Genomic DNA, 23511 nt, shown 5'->3' on the forward strand with positions numbered 1-23511 from the left:
AACAAACAAACAAAAAAAACACTATTTACAACATGTTCCTTCTATGCTGCTGGTTTCCTAGCCACAAAACATCCGTCTCCAAGGGTAAGACAGTCACTGAAACCTAAAGATATGCATGCTTACAGTGCAATTCTAAGCACAGCCTTTTTCTGAATTTTGATATAATTCAGCATTCTATGTCTAATACTGTAACCCAGAGTTTAGCTAAACATGCCATGGGGTAGTACAAACATTTTCTCTTCAGATTGTACTGAAAATGACTTTCCCTTTCAGAAAACATATTATATAACTCTATCTTCCACTTAAGGAGCCAGACCACATATGAGAAATAAGAGTTGACCTTAATAAGTATAATAAAGTTAAAACTAAGCTCGGCAACTAGGTCCACTATCTCAAAAGTCTGTCAGTTATAATTCTGGAAAAACATCACAGAAACGTTTAAGATGTCAAATGAATTCGATTTCTTTCAGCATAATTGGGAACTTGAAAAAGAAATGTAAGCCCATTCTGCATTCTTCCAGATGGCTGAGGTTGTCCTTGGGGTCACACACACACAGACTTTGAAATCAGGGGACCTGGGTTCCAATCAGGCTCCAGCTGGGCAATTTTGGGCAGTATAGTGTGACAGCTAAGACGATGGGCTACAGAGTTAGACTGCCTGGAGTCCAAGGTCAGCTTTGCCACTTCCTAGCTGGAAAAGCTTAGGTGAGTCTCTAGCCCTTAGTTTCCTCATCTATAAATGAGGGTATAATAACAGCACCTACCCCACAGAGTTTACTTAAGAATTAAGTGAGTACATAAAAATAAAAACACATAGAAGAGTATCTGGGACACATTTGGTGCTCAATAAACTTTAACTGCTAAATTAATGTTGTTGTTAAAAAGCACTGCTGAGCCTTAGTATCTTTTACAAAATGAGCCTAAAAACAGTAGCTTTGTCACAGTGATAGCACGAGCGTTTAAGACACAGAATGTTTACTGAATATTTTCCATATTCTAGGCATTGTGTGAAACACAATGCCAGTCTTTTTTTTCAAAAATGAACAATATAAATTGTTGATACATATAGATCTCCCCTCCCTTTTTGGTATGTCTGGTTGTGTAAGCATATTTGAAGAAAATAATATTGACCTTGACCTACTAATATAATACCCAGTGAAATAACTTCAAAATAAAGTTGTAACTTGATTAGAGGAAAGGTAAGATGCTGACTCAATAGGTGAGATGAGTCAGCTATCAGTACATGCATCAGCAACGTGTCAAACTCCTGAAGGGTGAAGAGAGTTAGCATTTGGATGGAAGAATGAATGACAAACAGAGCATCTGGGACAGAGAAGCTAGAATTTATGAAGACTGCAACAATCTGGATGAGCACTGCCAAAACAAGGATACCACTTGGGTCTCACACATCAAGGCTTCTTCTGATATAATCAGGTTTATGCAAAATGTGCAAAGGAAATAAATAAACAAGCAATGTTCGACAGCTTTGTCCTTGGAGCCAAAATTTTAAATTAGTATCATACTCACAAATATTAATACTTATATATACTAACTAAAAGTAATAATAGTAACTTACACTTAGAGTTCTTTACAACATATTCAAAACAAACAGTATTAACCTCCCACTAAAATAACATAAAATACTAAACCACTTCAAAGTATCTCTAAACCTTTCTTTTCCCCACACACTCTGTTATTTAGAGATCTAAGGACTTAACTAAAATTTTGCAAACTTTTAATTGCCTCCTAGAAGGGTTCAGACTAAGTCTGGAAGGGATATGATAGGTGGTTTCAACCTTCCCACAACACGAATTTGTTTAGAATCTACCATGTTTAACTTAATCATTCATTCATTCATTCCACAAATATTTACAGAACACTTTTTACATGCCAGGCACTAGTCTAGGCTATAAATATACACTATTAAGCAAAACCAAACTTCATGTTCTTAGCCTTCATGAAGCTTACAGACCAAATGGAGAGAAACCCTAATTAAATGACCATATAGATAAATATAAAAGTTAAAACATTTTACATTACAAAAAAAGGTACAAGAAGATATTATAAGGGCATATGTTGTAAAGAATGAAAACAAATGGATCTACTCTCAAAAAAAGTACAGTCCAGGGGGAAGCAAGATTTGCACCTATTAATAATGGCAAAAAATACAATTAAAGTGGCCGGGCGCGGTGGCTCACGCCTGTAATCCCAGCACTTTGGGAGGCCGAGGCGGGCTGATCACGAGGTCAGGAGATCAAGACCATCCTGGCTAACACGGTGAAAACCCATCTCTACTAAAAAAATACAAAAAAGTAGCCAGGCGTGGTGGCGAGCGCCTGTAGTCCCAGCTACTCAGGAGGCTGAGGCAGGAGAATGGCGTGAACCCGGGAGGCGGAGCTGGCAGTGAGCCGAGATCGTGCCACTGCACTCCAGCCTGGGCGACAGAGCAAGACTCCGTTTCAAAAAAATCAAGTAAAGTATCTGAATTTCATGGACCAAGTTGAGAGACAGAAAAGAAAAAAGCACCTGACAAGGAAATGGACCTCCAGCTTAGGTCCTTCATTATATCCTCCCATTAAAATCTTACAAAATTCCTGCCTAATACATGTTAATATTCCCATTTTACCTGTAAGAGAACCAAGGCTGCAAGATATTCAGTTTTATTATTCTGGGTCAATGGCTAACGTGTAAAAACAACTTCACTACAAAGAACCAGAAGGGATAATTTTACACCAAAATGAAATACTTCCTCCTCTCCATTTATTTGGACAGATAAATGTGGCAGTAGGATTATAAAGAATAAACAATGATTTTTGTCCTCCTCATCTCCTACCTCCCCACACCCCCCACTTTTTTTGAGACAAGGTCTCACTCTGTCACCCACGCTAGAGTGCAGTGGCACAGTCACAGCACACTGTAGCCTCGACCTCCCTGGCTGAAGCAATCCTCCCATTTCAGCCTCCCAAGTGGCTGGGATTACAGGCATGCACCACCACACCTAGCTAATTTTTGTAGTTTTTGTAAAGACAGTGCTTCACTATGTTACCCAGGGTGGTCTTGAACTCCTAGGCTCAAGGGATCCTTGCCGCCTGGACCTCCCAAAGTGCTGGGATTACAAGTGTGAGCCCCTGCATCCAGCCTCCTACCTCCCTACTTATAGCCCAGTTCCAACCCCAAGGCACACAGTATTCCACAATCACACTCTGCACTCATAACCTTTCCATAAGTTTAAAAAAAAAAAAAAACCGACTTGCCCTCTGATAATGTGGTGATTGATTATCCTGTCTACTAAAGGGTTAAGGGGTTATCTCTAGGAAGAACATATTTATATTATTAAAAAATACTTCATAGTGACAATAACAAAATGGCTTCATCCAATTGCATAATTTTAATAGGAATTTCCAGCATAAAACAAGCAAATTATCTGAAGACTCTATTGACACCTAATCTACTTTCACAGGATCATAAAAACAAGCCTTTATCAACAGATTAAAAAAAAAAAAAAACGTGGCTGAGCACAATGGCTCACACCTATAATCCCAACACTTTTGGAGGTTGAGGTGGGAAGATCAACACAGAAAGACCTCCGTCTCTACAAAAAAAAAAAAAAAATTACAGCATCCTAATAAAAAGATAAAATGTCTAATTCTGAAATTTTGACAATCTACATTGCTTGCTTGTACCATTAATGCACCCTGATATTACAAAGGTGACCAAGCAATAGCTTCTGAGCCATTTTTTACCCCACCCTGAAGTCCAAAGCAAGCATAGCATGCAGATGACAACATTTCTTTGAAAAAAGCCAAGTGGGGCAAGTTCAAGAGAGACCACTCTGAATGACATTCATCTAGATTCCAGAAACTCTCATATTACATAAATCTGCAAAAACACGCACCAGGCTCTCTTTGAGAATGGAGAGTACACATAAAAATGCGTAAGTTTCAAATTTCTGATAAAACCAGATGTCTTATGTATAGATTGTTCATAGACCCAGATGGGCCAGAAGAACCTCATTCATACAACTCTCACAAGTTTTCAGAATCTATCCTCTATTGAAAATATCATGATCTCCTACAGACAATACACTCTTTCAGGATCTTGACTATAAGCAATGTCAAAATACACTTGTTAATTAATGAATGAATAACCCAAAATAAACAAGAGTCACTGAAGACAGGTCAGGTATTAGAAAAAGATACGCATTCTAAAGAGCCATTTCCTGTTTCACAATAAATAGTTTCTGAAAATCTTGAATGAGTCATCCCTTCCCAGTCATATCATGTATACATAATAATAGTAAAAACTTAGTAAGCACTTACTCTGTGGCAGTCACTATTATAAGGAGTTTACATGTATTAACTCCTTTAATCCTTTCTACAATGCTGTGAGGTAGGTATTACCAACCTTATTTTTACATATAAAAATTGGCCCAAAGATATTTAGCAACTTGCCCACCATCACACAGCTGGAAAGGGGGCCCTGCTGAGCTTCAGACCTCCACAATCTGGCACCTGTACACTATCCCACCTCTGCTAAAGACTAATGAGAGCTGGCTTATCACTACTGATCATTTTTGTTTTCATCTAATATCTACAACGTACACTGGAGGGACCATCTGGAAGGGTTAATCTTCCTAATCTTCCTAACAGACTCTTTAACATAGATTGAGGAAGACAAGCATTCTGTCATCTATCTCCTCTTTGTACCAAGCAAAATGCAACTACCAAGGGTTAGAAAGATTCTCCAGCTGGCCTGTTATTTCTGTTAATATTTAAAAGCCCCCTTAGGCTGGGCACAGTGACTCATGCCTGTCATCCCAGCACTGTTGGAGGCCAAGGCAGGTGGATCACCTGAGTCAGATGTTCAAGGCCAACCTGGCCAACATGGCAAAACCCCATCTCTACCAAAAATACAAAAATTAATCGGGCATGGTGACAGGCGCCTGTAATCCCAGCTACTCAGGAGGCTGAGGCAGGAGAATCGGCTGAACCCAGGAGGCGGAGGTTGAAATGAGCTGAGATCACGCCATTTCACTCCAGCCTGGGTGACAAGAGTGAATCTCCATCTCAAAAAAAAATAAAATAAAGGACCCCTTTACATTAGTGTTAAGTCTCTCAAAAGATGATTCAAAGTCTTCTCTAACCTTCCAGCCTTCTCCTTTGCACTAAAGCTGGCTTACTTCAAGACTTCAACCTTGTTTGGATTTAATTTACTGTTCAGGAAAATGTAATGACACAGAAGTTTGGTTGTTTCATTTTGTTTTGAACACCTGACATTTGTTGAACTTGCATATGATTTGGAGTCTAACTGAGAGTTCAAACCTGTATTATCACCAGCACAGCCTAAGGTCAATTAGAAAGCCAGTTAGGTTGAATTGCTTTCAGCTAGTGATGGGACAGAAAGGAAGCATGAATAGAACAAGGAATAAACAAAGGAAAGGTGGAAGATATTTTAGACAAGAACAGCACAGAGGTGAGAGTGAGCACATTATGGGAGAAATTATAAGAAGATATGCATGTCTAGGGCATGGAAGACAGGTGACTAGAAAGAGTGGGAAATGAGAGGGAGGAATGAGGACATACCTGGCCAGAAAGGACTTTACAAACTGCAGGGTAACCTGGGTTTCATGTGGCTGACAACACAGAAATGTGGGACAGGAGCAAACATAATGAGAAGTGTTTTAGCGGGGGCTGAAGGGAGGCAATCAAATTAGCCAAAAACAATGTCATCAGAACCAAGTATGAAGAGTTATGAGGGCTTATACGAAGTTGATGGCCGTGGAAGAATAGAAGAAAAAGAAGCTGAGATACCAGAAGGTAAGAAACAAAGGGATTTTTTAAATTACATTAGATATAACAGAAAGGAAAGATAGTCAAAGATTACTAATGTTTCCAGGTTGGAAGAATGATGATACTGTTGGTAAAAATGAAACAATCAGACAGAGAAGTTAGTCAAGGAAGTTCATGAACTGTAGTGGCAACAACAGAATGTGAGGTAACTCCAAGGGAGAAAAAGACTCGAAATAGGACTGGAAACAAGGGGCTATAAATTAAACGGTAGAGATTCCAGAGTTTTCCCATAAAGGTGAAAGTTGAAATCAAAGGAACAGATAAGCTCAATGACTGAGTAAGGGGAAAACGAAGAACAGAAGGTTAAAAATGGAACCATGGGGCAGCTAGAGACAAGCTAAAGAAAACTCAACAATGAGGCAGAAAACTCAGGATAGGAAGGGACAGAGAACCAAGATGATGAAGTGCCCGCAAAAACAAGAAGTAAAGCTCTGAGACATTTCCCAGTGCTAACAGTGTACTAAAGATATACAAGAGTAAAACCTTCCGTAATTTTAAAGAAATGCCTCTAAATGCTAATGAAACAACCAAAACAGCTCTCTAGGAAGTCTGAGAAATGTCTGATGCAATCAGACTCAAGAGGCTGAGACAGGGCTAATTGTAATTTGGTTTTGGTGTGGATTTTATTAAATGAAGAAGAGTAACAGGAAAAGGGGATGACATGGAGAGAGAAAATCAAGTCTCTTAAAGTTTTTAGAAACTTGGGAGTTTTAACCCACATGCATTTGACTTTAACATTAAATTCTAATTAGTGATGTCAGAAAAATTGCAATAGAAAAGCCAAGGTGAAAAGAAAATAGTGAAAGGTAAAGAGAAGGAACCTGGATTTAATTCCGGATTCAGTAAAGAATCATGACAGTATTAAAGTTGGAGTGAGCACATGGTTTGTATTATTAAAACCTGAGGGAGAGACATTCATATGATTTGTATTGTTAAAAAGATCACTCTGGTCACAATGAGTTGAATGAATGGAAAAGAGGCAAGATAAGAAACAGGGACACCAGTTAGGAGACTACAGCTACATAGGAGGCAACTGTTACAGAATCGTGGGAAGGATTGGAGACAAAGTGGACAAATTAGAGATAATTTACTGGAAGAAGAATTGGTAGAATCAATTGTGCTTGCTGATAGAAACTACTCTGGGGGGAGAATACAGAGGTGAAAAGTGACTAACAGACAGAGAGGGATCAAAGGTGACTCTTGGCACTTGCCCCACTTCTCCACGTTCAGTGGGTGGGAGCCGGGTTGTCTGGTTTGAGCACCTGGGTGAACAGAGGAGTCAGCAAGTAAAAGAGGGAAGAAATAGTTTGGTGGGGGAAATCAAGTGTTACACTGACAATGTGTTACATTAGAGATGTTTATAAGACATATACATGGAAATGTATTGTATATACAAGACCAAAGTCTGAAAAGAGTGAGGTGGAGATAGAAATGTGGGCACCTCAGCTGGGCGCAGTGGTGTGCTCCTATAATCCCAGCTACTCGGGAGGCTGAGATGGGAGGATGGCTTGAGCCCAGGGAGGTCGAGGCTGCAGTGAACCACAACTGCACCACTGTACTCCAGCCTGGGCAATAGAGTGATACCCCATCTCAAAAAAAAAAAAAAAAAAAAAAAAAAACAAGAAGAAGAAAAGCAAAAGAAATGTCATATTTGGGGGAAAAAAAGGAAGAAAAGAAATGTGGACACCAACAACATATAAATGGTAATATATAAGTGGTCTTAAAGCCAATAGGCCGGATGAACTCACCTACGGCAAGAGTGCAGAAAGTGAAGCAGAAGGAGCTCTGAAGAAACCCAACACTTACAAGTTGAGTAGAGGAGGAAGAGCCAGCTAAGAGAATGAGAAGAAACAGCCAGAGGCAAAAGGAAAACCTGAGCAGGGTCACAGAAGCCAAAGAAGAGTATGTTTCTACAAGGAAAATGTGGACAAGTGTCCAACGTTGCTGAGAGACATGTGACATGCAGGTGGCCCTGACAAGAGTAATTTCAGTGAAGCGATGATCAAGGCAGATCAACCCACACCTCACCCTCCCTGCCCTATCAACATGGCTTATCACTTCTTTGCTTCTTTTTCTTGGGTCTTTCAGCATCTATTCCTGCCTTCGTCAACTCTTTATCAAATTCAAACTTCCCTAGAGAAAGGTTCTGCTGGAACAGCATTTCACTCTCTTCTCTGTTGGGTAGAAGCTCTGGGCCACATTATATCTTGCCTATAGATGGGATGATCTTGGGTCACGGAGTCACCCAATCCGTCACGTGAAACCAGAACACACGTACCACATGACATCCATTAGAAGGGGGTGTCTGGATATAAAGGGGCAGTCTAAGTCCTGGCCTGTTTCCAACACACTTTACAAATACTTAAATCAAAGACCAATGAACACTTTTAGTGATGAAAGTCTAAGGAAGCTTATAAATTCTAGGCAGTTTACTTTTTCTTAACTTGGGATGGATATCCAGATGTTCAATATATCACTGTTTTTTTATATATTACAATTAGTTTACAAAAATTATTTATAATCTTTCATTTAGATAATACATTGAAGACTAACAATTTTTGGAGGAAAAACTACAAAGGCAAAGAAGAACTGTTTATAGGTATGAAGTCACAACATTTAACACACTTAATGATTTACAGAAAAACACTGCCTAGAAGTGGCTTTTAAAACTTTTATGATAAAATATTAAAAAACATAAGATAGTTTTTTTAAATAGCATGCATTCATGCCCTATTAAAAAGAAGGAAAAAGTTTCCATCCAAAAATATTCAGGCCCTATAATTTTAACCCACAGGAAAGCCAAGCTAAAATGAAAAAACATTCAAAGGGAAGTTTACAGTGGAAACTCTGACAAATGCTTAACTACAGTGTCATGAACAGCACTGCTATTGTATGCATGTCTATATATTCAAACATGAATACATACATTCTTCATTTCAATTCATGGCCATAAAAATAGAGGATTATGATACTTAAATCTTCTATCTGTCATTGATAAACCTAAACAACAACAAAAAAAGTAAAAGCATTAACACAAGCTGGAGTCAGAATATTCCACAAACAATGCCCTCACATTTGAAAGTAGGAAGAATGCTAACTTAAACCTGTATAATGCTCGAGTTTTTCAAGCTTTCTCAAAATGTATTATTTCTTCTTCTTTTTCCCCCCCTTTTGCTTTTTGTTGTTGTTGTTGTTCTCATGGAAGGCACAACACTGGATCAAAATGAGTTATTTCATTTAATGATCCTACCAACCCAGTGAGCTAAGCTGGCTAGGTTTGATACTCACTTTGCAATTGAAAAACCCAAATTCACCAAAGATAAATGCTTTGCTCAAAAGTATATTTCAGTAACAGAGATTATATTCAAGTACATATCTTATAGGCTACAAAAAGACCACTCCTCCTTCCGCTAAAGTTTATATTATTAATAACATATCCTTTAATAAGGAGGCTTCAAATCCCTGCTCAATCAGTTCAAATATCACATACCATACTCTGACTTCTAAATCAGACTCTACTGTCCACCCAACTAATAGTTTTATTAATCAATCAATGATTAGTAGTTTTTAGGCATTCAATGCCCTACTATATGGATGTATTACCAGCACAGAGAACCCTATACTGCTGGTGATCACTGTTCTTCTATCCTTAGATTTTTAAGGCCTTTAGATCCATTAACAATTAGTAATCATAAAATCATCTATAAATTACTTATTCATGACATTCACAGATAGGATCACATATTTAACACAAACTTAACTGAATAAGAAGCTACTTTATTATACCTGACTAGTGTCCACTAACAGCTGAAAACTAAGAACAAGAGGAAGCACTTAGACTGTAGAGTAGTAGAGTCTGTTTTATGACTTTACTACAAACGTACACACACACAAAATATGAATCCAATACATCTCCATTTCTAAATGGTGATTTACAAGGACCAAATCTCCACACCTCCCATTTAATTAGTGGGCTGTTCTCAGGAGTAGGCTTATAAAGGCCACAATACCTACTAAATATTTGGATTACAGCCATAGAGTATCAGCATCTGCATCATTTCGTAAAAAAAGAAAACCATTCTCATTAAAAAATTAAGACAGCATATAATACTACTACTACACCTACTATACATCTGCCTCAGCCAAACTCAATAGACCATCTAAAAGCAAATGTGCAATGTAGTAATATTAAATAATATAAATAACCACCATTTATTGAGTACTCAATACATTCCAGGAACTGCCAACCTGCTTTAATGATAACAACAACAAAAATTGCAGCTAACATTTATTGATCCTTGATAGTCAGCCAGGCAATGTTCTATGTGGTTTACAGAAATTATTTCACAACATCACACATTACAAATGGAGAATCCAAGATACATAGAGACTAAGTATTTCACCCAAGGTCATAATGGCAATTAAAAGAGGGGAGGGGAGAAGAGAAAAAAAGCAGTAATGGAGAAAGGAGATGGGAAGGAGAGGAGAAGAGGGAATAAGAAAAAAAAGGGAAAAACAAATTAGATATATTGCCTATAAAACTTAATTGCCAAATAAATGCAAATACTCATTTTAAGGAAGGTCCTTAAACCTTTTCAAAGAAAAGTATAAGGCAGCCATAAGGTTAAGGTTCTCTTATCTATACAATACAGGATCTTACTGAAAAAGCTCTTAATAAAAATGTACACTGAAGTGCTATCACTTCAGCAGCATATATACTAAAACTGGAATGATACAGAGAAGATTAGCATGACCTCTTTTAAGAGAAAAAAATTTAAATATATATATATAAAATTTTTAAATGTATACTGAAACTACAAATCCAAAAATCCACGAGAGAAACAATGAAGTCCAACTGATATTGCTCTTACACAAAACATGGACAAACAATTCAGCTTGGAGATCCTTCAAATATTCACTTGAGGCTGCTTTTCTACTTCAAATGGGGAAATAAAAATGACATAGCTTCAGTTAATACTTGGTCACCTGCTTAAACTACATATAAGAAACCAAGGAAGGGCAAATTGAATAAAGGTTTTTATGATGTGGATATCTATCCTGTAGAACTGAAAACAGACTATTTTCAAATGACTTGGGACACATCGAATGACAACTTGTGGTCCTCTGCAACCTAACATCTGGCCTCTTTTTGAGAACGGTGAAACTGAAACCCAGAGGTCTCAGTGAAACTTTTGGTTTCACAATTACTCAGGATCTCAAAGAGCTTTTTAAAAATATGGATTATATCTACCAATATTTACCACATTAAAATTAAAAATGGGAAAATTTTTAATATTTATTAATTCATTTCAATACAATTGTAAATATTTTTTAAACTACTTTAAACCACATTTTCCTCAAAAAAATGAGTGAGAAAAGTGGCACCATTTTACACTTTTATACATCTCTTTAACATCTGGCTTAATAGAAAGCAACTGGATTCTCAAAACCCACTTTTGCTTCAATTTCCTGCAACAGTACAGGTAATGCAGATTCTGGAAAACACGGTCATGGGAGAGGGAAAAACATATAATGTCTTAAGTATTACTATAAAATTAGTTTTGACCTCACAGACCCCTGAAAAGGTCTCAGGAACCTTTGGGGATCCCCAAAGCATGCTCTGAGAACCACTAATCTAGGATATGAAGTACACACTGAGAAACCATGAGAACCTGGCTCCAATGCTGACTTACCCTGAGAGGAGATTAAGTCACTTAACTTCTCTAGATGCCAATCTCCTTCTCAATAAAGAAATCATTGGCCGGGTACGGTGGCTCATGCCTGTAATCCCAGCACTTTGGGAGCCTGAGGCAGGCAGATCACTTGAGGCCAGGAGTTCGAGACCAGCCTGGCCAATATGGTGAAACCCCCATCTTGTACTAAAAATCCAAAAAAAAATTAGCCAGGTATGGTGGTGGACGCCTGTAGTCCCAGCTACTCAGGAGTCTGAGGCATGAGAAATGCTTGAACCCAGGAGAAGGAGGTTGCAGTGAGCTGAGATCATGCCACTGCACTCCAACATGGGTGACAGAGTGAGACTGTTTCAAAAAAAGAAAGAAAGAAAAAAATCATTAAGAACAATACCTATCTCCAGTCTGTTATTCCCAGATTTCATAATAAAGATGAAAACACACAGAGATACACTCTGAGCTCTCTGGAAGATTAACTTCTATATAAAGTCAACTTCCAGGGCCTCTCTCCCATGGTGCTGTGGGTGGGGGAGGAGGGGTGCTTTTCTCCTCAGCGAAGACTGGAGGCAGACATCACCCCTCAAGGATCATCCTCAGAACTGCCACGTGCTGGACAGCCTTGTTTTTCTACCTCACACATTTACAGTAAAAAAAATAAATAAAGCCAACTTCTCAGGTACTATTCAGGTGAAAGCTTCACCTGCCTGTCCCTAAATATTCTAGCTCCGTTCACTTGGCACCTTGCTAAATGAACTGACTGGTTTGTTTGTCTACACTTAGAACAGACACTGAACAAAACATAACTTAAGTCTTTAGTACAATAAAGGTAAGAAGTGGCTGCCTGTTTAACTCAGTCTATGTAGCACCTAACACCATACTGACAACAAACTAAAATTCTTTTCAACAAATCTTAACTGAAAAGGATGATCTCTGAGAATGGGAGAACCTAAAAAAAAATTCTCACTGAATCCCAGTTAGTGAAATGAAACTGATGGAGAGGGAAGAACTAATATATGCAATAAAAGATTAGGTTAAACCATATGCAAGTGCCAGTTTTATACATCAAGATGGTCAAATATTGGAAATTTCATCTGGTTCAACCTAAAAGAATGCCTTATTTTGTTAACACTCAGACTAACAGTGTTAAGGCACCAAAGGTCGCTACTCAAATTTGAATGCATACATAGTAAAACTTTCCACAAAGAATTTTTGCTTTGTTTTTCCTTTTTGTAATATAAATATTAAAATATACTCAAAAGTAGAAAGGACAGTATAATAAACCTTCACATACTCATCACCCAGGATCAAAAATTACCAACCTTTTACCAATCTTACTCCACAGATAATTTTAAGGAAATTCATTTCCACAGCCTCAATTTTCTTTTTCTTAAGAGTTGGGGTCTCGGCCAGGTGTGGTGGCTCATGCCTGTAATCCCAGCACTTTGGGAGGCCAAGGAGGGTAGATCATGGGAGGCCAGGAGTTCAGGACCAGCCTGGCCAACATGGTGAAACTCTGTCTCTACTAAAAATACAAAAATTAGCCAGGTGTGTTGGTGTGCCTGTAATCCCAGCTACTCGGGAGGCTGAGGTGGGAGAATTGCTTGAATCTGGGAGGCAGAGGCTGCAGTGAACCGAGATCACACCACTGCACTCCAGTCTAGGCAACAGAGCGAGACCCTGTCTCAAAAAAAACAGTTGGGGTCTTACTCTGTTACCCAGGCTGAAGTGCAGTAGAGTGATCATAGTTCAATGCAGCCTCCAACTCCTGGGCTCAAGGAAACCTCCCACCTCAACCTCCCAAGAAGCTGGGACTACAGGCACAAGCCACCATGCCCTGCTATTTTTTCAATTTTTGGTAGACATAGGGACTCACTTTCTTGCACAGGCTGGTCTCGAACTCCTAGTCTCAAGCGATCCTCCTTTCTCAGCCTCTCAAAGTGCCGGGATTACAGGCATGAGCCACTGTGCCTGGCCAGACTCCATTTTTTTATGTATTTCATCCTAAAACCACCAGCCTGAAATCTTGTCTGCAATGACACTGCAAATTCTTCTTTTTCAGCTTCCCTTTCAAAATCTTCCTTCTCTCACATTAAAAGGAGAAACACACCTGCTCACTGATCCCAAACCTTAGCACAGCTCACTTCCCTCCCTGTCACCAAACAAAGGGTCGGTTTGAGTGTTAAGAAAATAGCAACTGGAAAACAAATTCTTTTGCAAATCTAGTAGTTTATCTGCTTTCAACAATACTGAAGGAGGATCTAACCAATTGTCATCAAAAATAATTTTTGGTGGTAGATTGATTTTTGACACATAACTCAGAAACAGTTCAAGGGACTGAGTGATGCTGCAATAACAGAACACTTCCCATTCCTATCTCTTATTTATATAATTAGGATTTGTCAGTGCTCTATCACAATAAAAAAGAAAAGTATGAAATAGAATTGGCCGGGTGTGGTGGCTCACACCTGTAATCCCAACACTTTGGGAGGCCGAGGCGGGTGAATCACCTGAGGTCAGGAGTTCGAGACCAGCTGGCCAACATGCTGAAACTCCGTCTCTACTTAAAATTTAAAAATTAGCTGGGCGTGGTAGCGTGCACCTGTAATCCCAGCTACTAGGGAGGGTGAGGCAGGGGAATTGCTTGAATCCAGGGGGCGGAGGTTGCAGTGAGCCGAGATCGCACCACTGCACTCCAGCCTGGGCGATAGAGCAAGACTCCATCTCAAAAAAAAAAAAAAAAAAAAAAAATTGATGCTAAATCCCCATTCTGGCAATAATCAATATTCACCCATGTATGAAGAGCTCATTTATTTAATTTAAAAAAAGCCACAGTCCTATGCATTTCATTGAGATACATTTCCAATAACTATTTAATAGTTTTAACAATCATTTATCAAAATGTAATACCTTTATATTAGTTTGAATTATGTGATAATGGCAATGACAAATTCTGTTTACTTCTGAATTGAATTAACACAGCCTCATGGTCACAAGACATTTTAACTTTCTTTATTTTAAAATGATATATTTTTAAAGTATGAGAAGTATGAGAGGGTTATCGGTTAATAAGACTTTCGAGTCTAAAAATATTTTTTATTCTGACAAAATTCTGGAGTGAGTACAATGGAAATACAACTTCAACAAACAGTTAAAGAATTCATTCAATTTTTTAGAAGATGATGGTAGGAAACAAATTGCTGTCCACCAGTACCTTTAAATACATATATAAAAGTAATGCAACAGTTTAATTATTAAATGTCAACATTTTAAAATATCCTAGAAATTACACGTTATGCAACTATGTAAACATGTAGGAAAAAAACTTTTCAGAATCAATACAAAAAATACATTGTTTTACAAAATTCTTTCAAGCCTATATGAGCAAAAATGTTTGAAAACTGTTGGCATGGAGGCCGAGCACAGTGACTCATGTCTGTAATCCCAGCACTTTGAGAGGCTGAGGTGGGCAGATCACCTGAGGTCAGGAGTTCGAGCCTGGCCAACATGGTGAAACCCCGTCTCTACTAAAAATACAAAATTAGCCGGGCATGGTGGCGCGTGCTTGTAATCTCAGCTACTCAGGAGGCTGAGGCACAAGAATTGCTTGAACCCAGGAGGCAGAGGTTGCAGTGAGCCAAGATCGCACCACTGCATTCCAGCCTGGGTGACAGAGTGGGACTCCGTCTTGGAAAACAACAACAACAAAAAAAAACTGTTGCCATGAGTCACGCGTGATTTTAGCCTCTATTTAGATGGTATTCTGAAAACATGACCTTTGGTGAAATCTTTATTTATTTAGTTGTTGGGGTTTGGTTTACGCAAGAAAGGGGAGTAATATGAGAAGGCATGAAACACATCTGGCTGACTCCGACATCTGAAACTAATAAATACAGTAAACCAGACTGTTAACAAAACATTTTATCTGAATGCATAAAAATCTTAAAAAGTGTTTAATTATATTTACTTTTAAGTACCAAAACAAGGCATAGTCAGACAGCCCCTAGAAAATCTAACAGAATAACCTGTTCATCATCAGTTTAATTTACCCAAGGCCTACTGTGAGCTGGGCCCTCAACATACAAGTACACATTCCTTGAACAAATAATTTTGAGCATTTTCTAGGGCTCAGACACTGTTCTAGGTACCGACAATACCGCAGTGAACAAAAGTGACAAAGATTTCTGTCCTGCTGGAGTTTACACTCTAGCAGGATGCACAGATAATAAACATTAGAAATAAGAACATAATATAGGCCAGGCCCAGTGGCTCACACCTGTCATCCTAGGACTTTGGGAAGCTGAGGCAGGCAGATTGCTTGAGCCCAGGAGTTCAAGACCAGCCTGGGCAACATAGCAAGATCTCATCTGTACTTTAAAAATATAAATAAAATTTTTTTTAAAAAATCATACAGTATGTTGAAAACAGACAAGTGCAAGAGAAAAAATAAGCAGAGCAAGGAAAGGAACATGGGGAGGGGGGGTCACAGTTTTAAACAGAATGCACTCGCAGACATAAAGAAGATAGATATTTGCCTAATTATGACATCAGTGTGGTAAGTACTATAGGAGATTAAGGCTGTCAGTGGGAATGAGGAGGAGATACCTAGTTCTCCCTCAAAGAAGTAGTGATATCTGAGCCAACTCTTGAGAGAGCAAAAAGAAGGGGTTGGCCAGAATCACAAGAGGAAGAAGGGCTCTCCCAGCCAAGAGAATAAATAGCCCGTGCAGAAAGGGCACAGAGAGGTGCACGTACACAGCGCATTCACGGCAGGCAGCTCCCCATGAACTGGGAGGAGGAAAGAGGGCGCCACTAGAGAAAAGCTGGGCAGGTTCAGATCCGAGAGCTTCCATTTTCTGCTGTGGGGTCCAAGGGAGCACACTACCAGCTCCTGCAGGCAGCTCCATGAAAGGTGGGTCCACAGGGGCCACGCTAGAGACAGAGACGTATTGACATTCCCACAATAGGAAGAAAGGAAAGAGCAGAGCCGAGATGGGGGAAGGAGAGAGCAGCACAGACTCAAAAAGCTCCCGAGGCCAGGCATGGTGGTTCACACCTGTAATCCCAGCACTTTGGGAGGCCGAGGCGGGTGGATCACGAGGTCAGGAGTTCGACACCAGCCTGGCCAATATGGTGAAACCCTGTCTCTACTAAAAATACAAAAAGTAGACGGGACTGGTGGCGCGCGCCTATAGTCCCAGCTACTCAGGGGGGCTGAGGCAGGAGAATCGCTTGAACTGGTGAGGCGGAGGTTGCAGTAAGCCGAGATCACACCACTGCACTCCAGCCTGGTGACAGAGTGAGACTCCACCAAAAAAAAAAAAACTCCCAAGGAGTTAGAAGCAGAAAGATAAAGGGCCCAAAGCAATGAAGCTCAGGCCACAACAGAGATGATGGGGCCACTCCCTAAAGGCAGGAAACCTGTGAAAGGGACCGGACCAAGGAGTAGCTGGAAATACAAGTCTGGACTGGAGAAAATTTTCTAGCCTGGAGATACAGACTAAAAAGCCTGAGAGGGGAAACTGAAGGCATCAGAATGGATATGATCGATCTCTTTCTTTCTCTTTCTCTCTCTCTCTCACACACACACACACACACACACACACACACACACACACAAAGAATCGTATCAAGTGTAAAGAAGAACACCAAGGACTTCTAAGCATTTCCTTTTTCAGAATGAACTTGCTCACATGAACACTATTATTAGTATTTTTTTCATCTGTCTTAAGCATACACTGTGTCAAACACCCACAAATATTCAAAAGCAAAAAAAGCAACTTCTTAAGAATGAGGCAATGACAAGAACGAGGCTATTACAGATAACTTTTGGAACCACAAGAAACAAAATTATAATTCAAACCAAAGAGAAGTATTCTGAACCTACTGAAAAAATTGGGAAGGCCAGACACAGTAAGTTCTAAGTCTAGGCCAGGTATATTTTCAAAGTCCTTCACACTTTCCTTAAGCTAGCAAAAGATATGGAGAGGTTCAAAAACACTATCAGGGCACCACAAAGTTTGATTTTTATGGCCTAATATTTTAGTAATTCACAATAAAAACACATAAGCCAATAGTATCTTGTAAATTTACAGGAATCCTAAGCAGCAAAGAACTACCCACAAAAAACAAGTTTGCTCATCTTTCCTGAGAGGTTGCACTTTCAACAATACTTCTGTATTAAGGAACAATGCAACAGCACTCTTATTTTAAAATTAAATAGTTTTTCAGCACTTTAAGAAAAGAAAAATAAACACCTCTGAAGCAATTAATATATTCAAATTCAACAGTCATTTCTTTCAACAGCTTTTTTACTTGTATTGTTTTCACAAAAGTAAATGTTCTATCCAAAAGAAACATCAATTTCTTTTACAGAAGTTTAGCCTGTTATCTAATTCACAAAAGAACTGCTACTGCTATACTCATTTAAAAAAAAAAAAAAAAAAAACATACTGGCAACAATATGAATTAAGATATGTGAATACCCTCTTCCATTTTATTTTATTTTATGTATTTTAGAGACAGAGGTCTCACTATGTTGCTCAAGCAGGTCTCGAACTCTTGGCCTTAAGCAATTTTCCTGCCTCAGCCTCCAGAGTAACTGGGACTACAGGCACTAAGCCATGGTTTGTTTTTTTTGTTCGTTTTTTGGGGGGTTTTTTTGAGACGGAGTTTCACTCTTGTTGCCCAGGCTGGAGTGCAACAGCACGATCTCGGCTCACCACAACCTCTGCCTCCCAGGTTCAAGCGATTTTCCTGCCTCGGCCTCCCGAGTAGCTGGGATTACAGGCATGTGCCACCACGTCCGGCTAATTTTGTATTTTTAGTAGAGACGGGGTTTCTCCATGTTGGTCAGGCTGGTCTCGAACTCCCAACCTCAGGTGATCCACCCGCCTCGGCCTCCCAAAGTGCTGAGATTACAGGCATGAGACACCGCGCCCAGCCAGCCATGATTTTTTTAAGGTAGAGAAAAATAAAAGTCTGCAAGTGTTTTCACTTCTAGTAATTCATAAGAATTAACACTATTATCTTTGTCATTGTACATATACTGACAAACTTTTTTTTTTTTTTTTTTTTTGATACTGAGTCTCCCTCTGTCACCCAGGGCTGGAGTGCAGTGGTACGACCTCAGCTCACTGTAACCTCTACCTCCCAGGTTCAAGTGATTTTCCTGCCTCCACCTCCCAAGTAGTTGGGATTACAGGCATGCGCTACTACGCCCAGCTAATTTTTGTATTTTTAGTAGAGACAGGGTTTCACCATGTTGGCCAGGCTGGTCCCAAACTCCTGATTTCAGGTGATCTGCCCACCTCGGCCTCCCAAAGTGCTGGGATTATAGGCATGAGCCACTGCACTGGCCGACAACAAACGTTTTTGATGGCGAAGTCCCCTAAAGGCATTTCCTCTAAAAAATGTACCCTAATCCCATTTTAAAGTTCTAGGTCCTCTTTTCCCAATTCCCACTTCTCTCCTCCCCTCTCCTGATTTCTCCTCCCCCGACCCCACCCATCTTTCTTTCCCCATTACACACACACACACACACACACACACACACACACATCCTTTAAACATTTCTACCAGGGAGCAATTTTTCTTCATGATGCTCACAAGTAGAAACATTTGCACAAATGGTAGGTTCCCTAACAAATCCCAAAAGGAGCACTCTTTTCTGGTATAAGTTACACACACATTCATACATAAATATCTATTATGTATATAGGCCAGTATTCTTACTTTGAAATGTATACTAAATTATATACACACTAGATACAAAATCCCATCACAAGTGTTTACCAATACCATCATTTGGGTTATACCAGAATATAAAGCTGCAAAACACATGTGGTCCACAGTACTCCACTGTTTCCCACCCTCCCATTTCCTTTCCTATCCTGTTCCTGCTTTCCTGCCTCCTTTTTCCCCACCATCCCGCATAAACTTTAAGTCCCAGTCTGTGGCTCAGCTAATCCCATGTCTAACCCCTGGTCTGTTAACTCTGAAGGCCCCTTTCCACTCCAGCCTTTCTCTCCAACCACCCTTAGAGGGTTCTCTCAAATGACACTTCTTTCATGAAGACTTTCCTGGCTGATTCCCTGAACCTGATGTGATCTCTCCCATCCTTTGAGCTGCAGGGGCCCCTCATTCACATCTCTCTTACAGCACTTAATTTGACTGCATGATGCAATCATATCTGCCCTCTTGAATTATATACAATTATATTTGCATCCCTGTAGTCCTATGAGACCAGCACATAACATGAATACAGCTGAACTGTCTCAAACCCACATGCTTCTGTAACAAATAATGTATTTCCAATACAGCTGTCCATAAACCCACATCTATACTCAGGCCCTCTAACAAGAATATTTCCTACCTTAGGAAGAATCTGAGAAAGTTATTTGTCGAGAAAAGTAACACAAAACCAGTATCCTAGTATTTTAACACATTGCCTCAATTTCCATAATGTCATATTACTTGAAAGTGAAAATAAACATTAGCTCAAGTTGTTAAGACATAAAATAAGAGAAATGTGATATAGTCCAGTAGGAAATCAGATTTGGAATTAGAACTATTATAATTTACCACCCCCCCCTCTTAAATTCCTCTTGTCTTTTTCTCCAATGCTCCTAAACATTGTTGCTAGTAACACCAACAGATGTTTTGCTTCTTCAGGTGAATAGTTTGGAGAGGAGAAGCTTGAGAATGGTTAAAAAGAAGGGAAGTGAAAAGTGTGGATAAATGGATGGGGTCAATGCCAACGATGTAGGCATTTCGAAATCAATCTAATGATTTCTGAAAAGCATTCAGAGACTGCTATATAAGCCTGAGAGGTATATCTATGTTTTGAGGGTCTTAACAAATTTGTAATTTTAGTCCTTTCTATACAAATTAGTGTTTCACCTTTCAAAACATCTTTAAACCCAGTAATAATCTCAATCGTGTATGCTCTATGTATTTCCTCTGTCAAAGAATACTTCCTCTTATTTCTACAACTCAACAACACTTAATTTCAGGATTCCATCCTCACATTGATCATCTCAACATAATCACTTTTTCTTAATTTTCCTCTCAGATTCAGTCCAAATATTCTTTTCTCAGGTGACTCCAACTGCTTTATTACAGTACCATCAAGGTTTTAGTAACTTCCTCTTCTTTATTTGTCTTTCACATGGTCTCAACTGCTTCCTTATATTCTCCCTCATGTCTCCAAAATAAAAAATGACATGAAATGAGACACAAAACTGGGAAGCACCTTTTACATTATACTGTATTACATAAATATTTTATTTCTATTATTCGCTCTCATGTTTTTGCTTCTTTCCACCCCATCTCACCCACACACCTACTTAGGACAATTTCTTCCAAACGCTTTCCTGCTAAAGGGCACTGCTTGCTACTTAGCAGGCATTTAATAAATATTCTTTCAGTGAATGATTTTTTTTTTTTGAGACAGGGCCTTGCTCTGTTGCCCAGGGTGGAGTGCAGTGGCACAATCATTGCTCACTGCAGCCTCAAAATCCTTGGTCCAAGCAATCCTCCCACCTCAGCCTCCCAAATAGCTAAGACTAGAGGCGCACACCACCATGCCTACCTAATTTTTGTTTTATTCTTTTTGTAGAGACAGGGTCTTGCTATGTTGCCCAGACTAGTCTCAAACTCCTGAGATCAAGCAATCCTCCCACTTTGGCCTCCCAAAGTGCTGAGATTGCAGGTGTGAGCCACTGTACCCAGCCGTGTGAATGATTTTAAGAGAATCCCCTAGACTCTATAATTCCTTCTAAAAAATTCCCAAAAAAGGGCCAAGCATTGTGGGTCATGCCTGTAATCCCAGCACTTTGGGAGGCTGAGTTGGGCAGATCACTTGAAGTCAGGAATTTGAGACCAGCGTGGCCAACATGGCAAAACCCCATCTCTACTAAAAATACAAAAATTAGCCTGGCGTGGTGGCGCATACCTGTAGTCCCAGCTACTCGGAAGGCTGAGGCAAGGGAATTGCTTGAACCCAGGAGGCAGAGGTTACAGAGAGCCAAGATCGCACCACTGTACTCCAGACTGGGCGACAGAGCAAGACTCCATCTTAAATAAATAAATTAATTTAATTAAATATAAATATAAATATAAATTTAAAAATTCCCAAAAAGACTTTCATGAAAGCTATCATGGAACTGTGTTACCCAACTACATGACCAAAAAGACCTAAAGAATCTAAGCAACTTTAATTTCTGGTTTTACAGATGAAGAAATGGAAACCCAGAGGCGTTAACTGACTTATCCAAAATCACACAGATGGTTAACGACAGAACCAGAATTAGAATCCAGGTCTTCGAACCTCTTTACTTTTGTGTACTATTGGTGGTATTGGATTTTTGGTTTTGTTCTTGCTTTGATTTAATTACTTTTTGCATTAATTTGGGGGGGTAGTTTATTTCTGATTTTAAAAATAGTATAGGCTCACCAAAGAAGATTTGGAAAGTAAAAAATGAACATAGAAAACTGCTAATTCACTTTTCAAGTACCACTGCCTCTCACATACCCTCACTCAACACAAACTATTTGTCCCAAAACTCTTCTTCATGGATTTATATAGCCCCATACTCAATGTTGGTCACCAAATACCATAATTTTTGTTGTTGTTGTTGTTGTTTTCTTTTTTTTTTTTTGAGACAGAGTCTCACTCTCACCCAGGCTGGAGTGCAGTGGCCCGATCATGGCTCACTGCAGCCTTGACCTCCCAGGCTCAAGTGATCCTCCCACCTCAGCCTCCCAAGTAGCTGGGACTACCGGTGCAGACCACCATGTCCAGCCAATTTTTGTATTTTTTGTAGAGATGGGGTTTTGCCACATTGCCCAGGCTGGTCTTGAACTCCTAAGTTCAAGCAATCTGCCCTCTGGCCTTCCAAAATGCAGGAATTACAGGCATGAGCTGCTGCGCCCAGCCAATACCAAAATTCTTAATTTTAGGTATCAACAAGCTTCCTGATGACACCAAGATTTAGAACGTTTCTATCATGGTATGTCAGAATTCAAGTACAAGTCATCTTCCTTTTCTCTGAGTGATGCCTTTCTCAGCTACATTATCTATGTTTAAAGAATACATGGAACTAGAAAACTGGCACACGCACAGCCACAAATCCAATGAAGTCCAGGCCAATTTATATCATTACCTACAATGCTGAAACATGATATATTTTGAGTATCTTAAAAACAAGTAGCTGAGGTAAGCAACTATAAACATATTTTTTTCCTTAAATTTTATGTATATGTTAGTATATGAATACCTAAGTCTGAATGACCTCTAGCTAATAAGTAGTAAAATTCTTGCAGAGTAGAAGAACTAGGCCGAATAAAATTGTGCTAACCAATATAGCAGCCACTAGCCACATATAACTACTGAGCACTTGGGAAATATGACTAGTCCTACCTAGTCAATAAATGGTGCTGGGAAAACTGGCTAACCATATGCAGAACGAAACTCGACCCCTACACCTTTCACCATATACAAAAATTAACTCAAAATGGATTAAGGACTTAAATGTAAGATCTCAAAACTATAAAAATTCTAGAATAAAACGTAGGAAATATCATTCTGGAATGCAATAAAATCAAAAGTTGACAAGTGGAACCTAATTAAACTAAAGCACTTCCGCACAGTGAAAGAAATTATCAACAGAGTAAACAGACAACCTACAGAATGGGAGAAAATATCTGCAAACTACACATCTGATGAAGGACTAATATCCAGAATCTAGAAGAAACTCAAACAAATCAACAAGAAAAAAACAACCCCATTAAAAAGCGGGCAAAGGACATGAGCAAACACTTCTCAAAAGAGGACATACAAGCAGTCAACAAGCCTATGAAAAAATGCTCACTATCACTAATCATCAGGGAAATGCAAATCAAAATCACAACGAGATACCATCGCACACCAGTCGGAATGAGTACTATTAAAAAGTCAAAAAATAACATGTTGG

General features: G+C 39.2%; 1 protein-coding gene, 1 non-coding gene and 1 pseudogene across 11 annotated transcripts in view, besides 4 other annotated features; 2 read left to right on the top strand and 1 right to left on the bottom strand.

Annotated features, from left to right (window-relative positions):
• Positions 1-23511, bottom strand: part of PPP2R5E (protein phosphatase 2 regulatory subunit B'epsilon) — a 172014-nt gene that overhangs the window by 95869 nt on the left and 52634 nt on the right. The gene's annotated exons all lie outside the window — the stretch shown is intronic.
• Positions 4423-4502: an enhancer, noted in NCBI's record as "active region_8504". NCBI's record gives its function as "activates an Ori minimal core promoter by ATAC-STARR-seq in GM12878 lymphoblastoid cells {active_cell/tissue: GM12878}" and the evidence as "EXISTENCE:reporter gene assay evidence [ECO:0000049][PMID:35858748]".
• On the top strand, positions 10542-10648 carry LOC124903414 (U6 spliceosomal RNA). Its single transcript, XR_007064393.1, has one exon. It is a non-coding gene; the product is annotated as a U6 spliceosomal RNA (small nuclear RNA).
• Positions 11750-11889: an enhancer, noted in NCBI's record as "active region_8505". NCBI's record gives its function as "activates an Ori minimal core promoter by ATAC-STARR-seq in GM12878 lymphoblastoid cells {active_cell/tissue: GM12878}" and the evidence as "EXISTENCE:reporter gene assay evidence [ECO:0000049][PMID:35858748]".
• LOC124900352 (uncharacterized) lies at positions 12040-12181 on the top strand (annotated as a pseudogene).
• Positions 16071-16572: an enhancer, noted in NCBI's record as "H3K4me1 hESC enhancer chr14:63950021-63950522 (GRCh37/hg19 assembly coordinates)". NCBI's record gives its function as "activates a minimal SCP1, AML or CMV promoter by ChIP-STARR-seq in naive H9 embryonic stem cells {active_cell/tissue: H9 hESC(naive)}" and the evidence as "EXISTENCE:reporter gene assay evidence [ECO:0000049][PMID:30033119]".
• Positions 16573-17072: an enhancer, noted in NCBI's record as "H3K4me1 hESC enhancer chr14:63950523-63951022 (GRCh37/hg19 assembly coordinates)". NCBI's record gives its function as "activates a minimal SCP1, AML or CMV promoter by ChIP-STARR-seq in naive H9 embryonic stem cells {active_cell/tissue: H9 hESC(naive)}" and the evidence as "EXISTENCE:reporter gene assay evidence [ECO:0000049][PMID:30033119]".

This window comes from Homo sapiens, chromosome 14, assembly GCF_000001405.40.
Source record: "Homo sapiens chromosome 14, GRCh38.p14 Primary Assembly".
In the NCBI taxonomy this organism is placed as follows: Eukaryota; Metazoa; Chordata; class Mammalia; order Primates; family Hominidae; genus Homo; species Homo sapiens.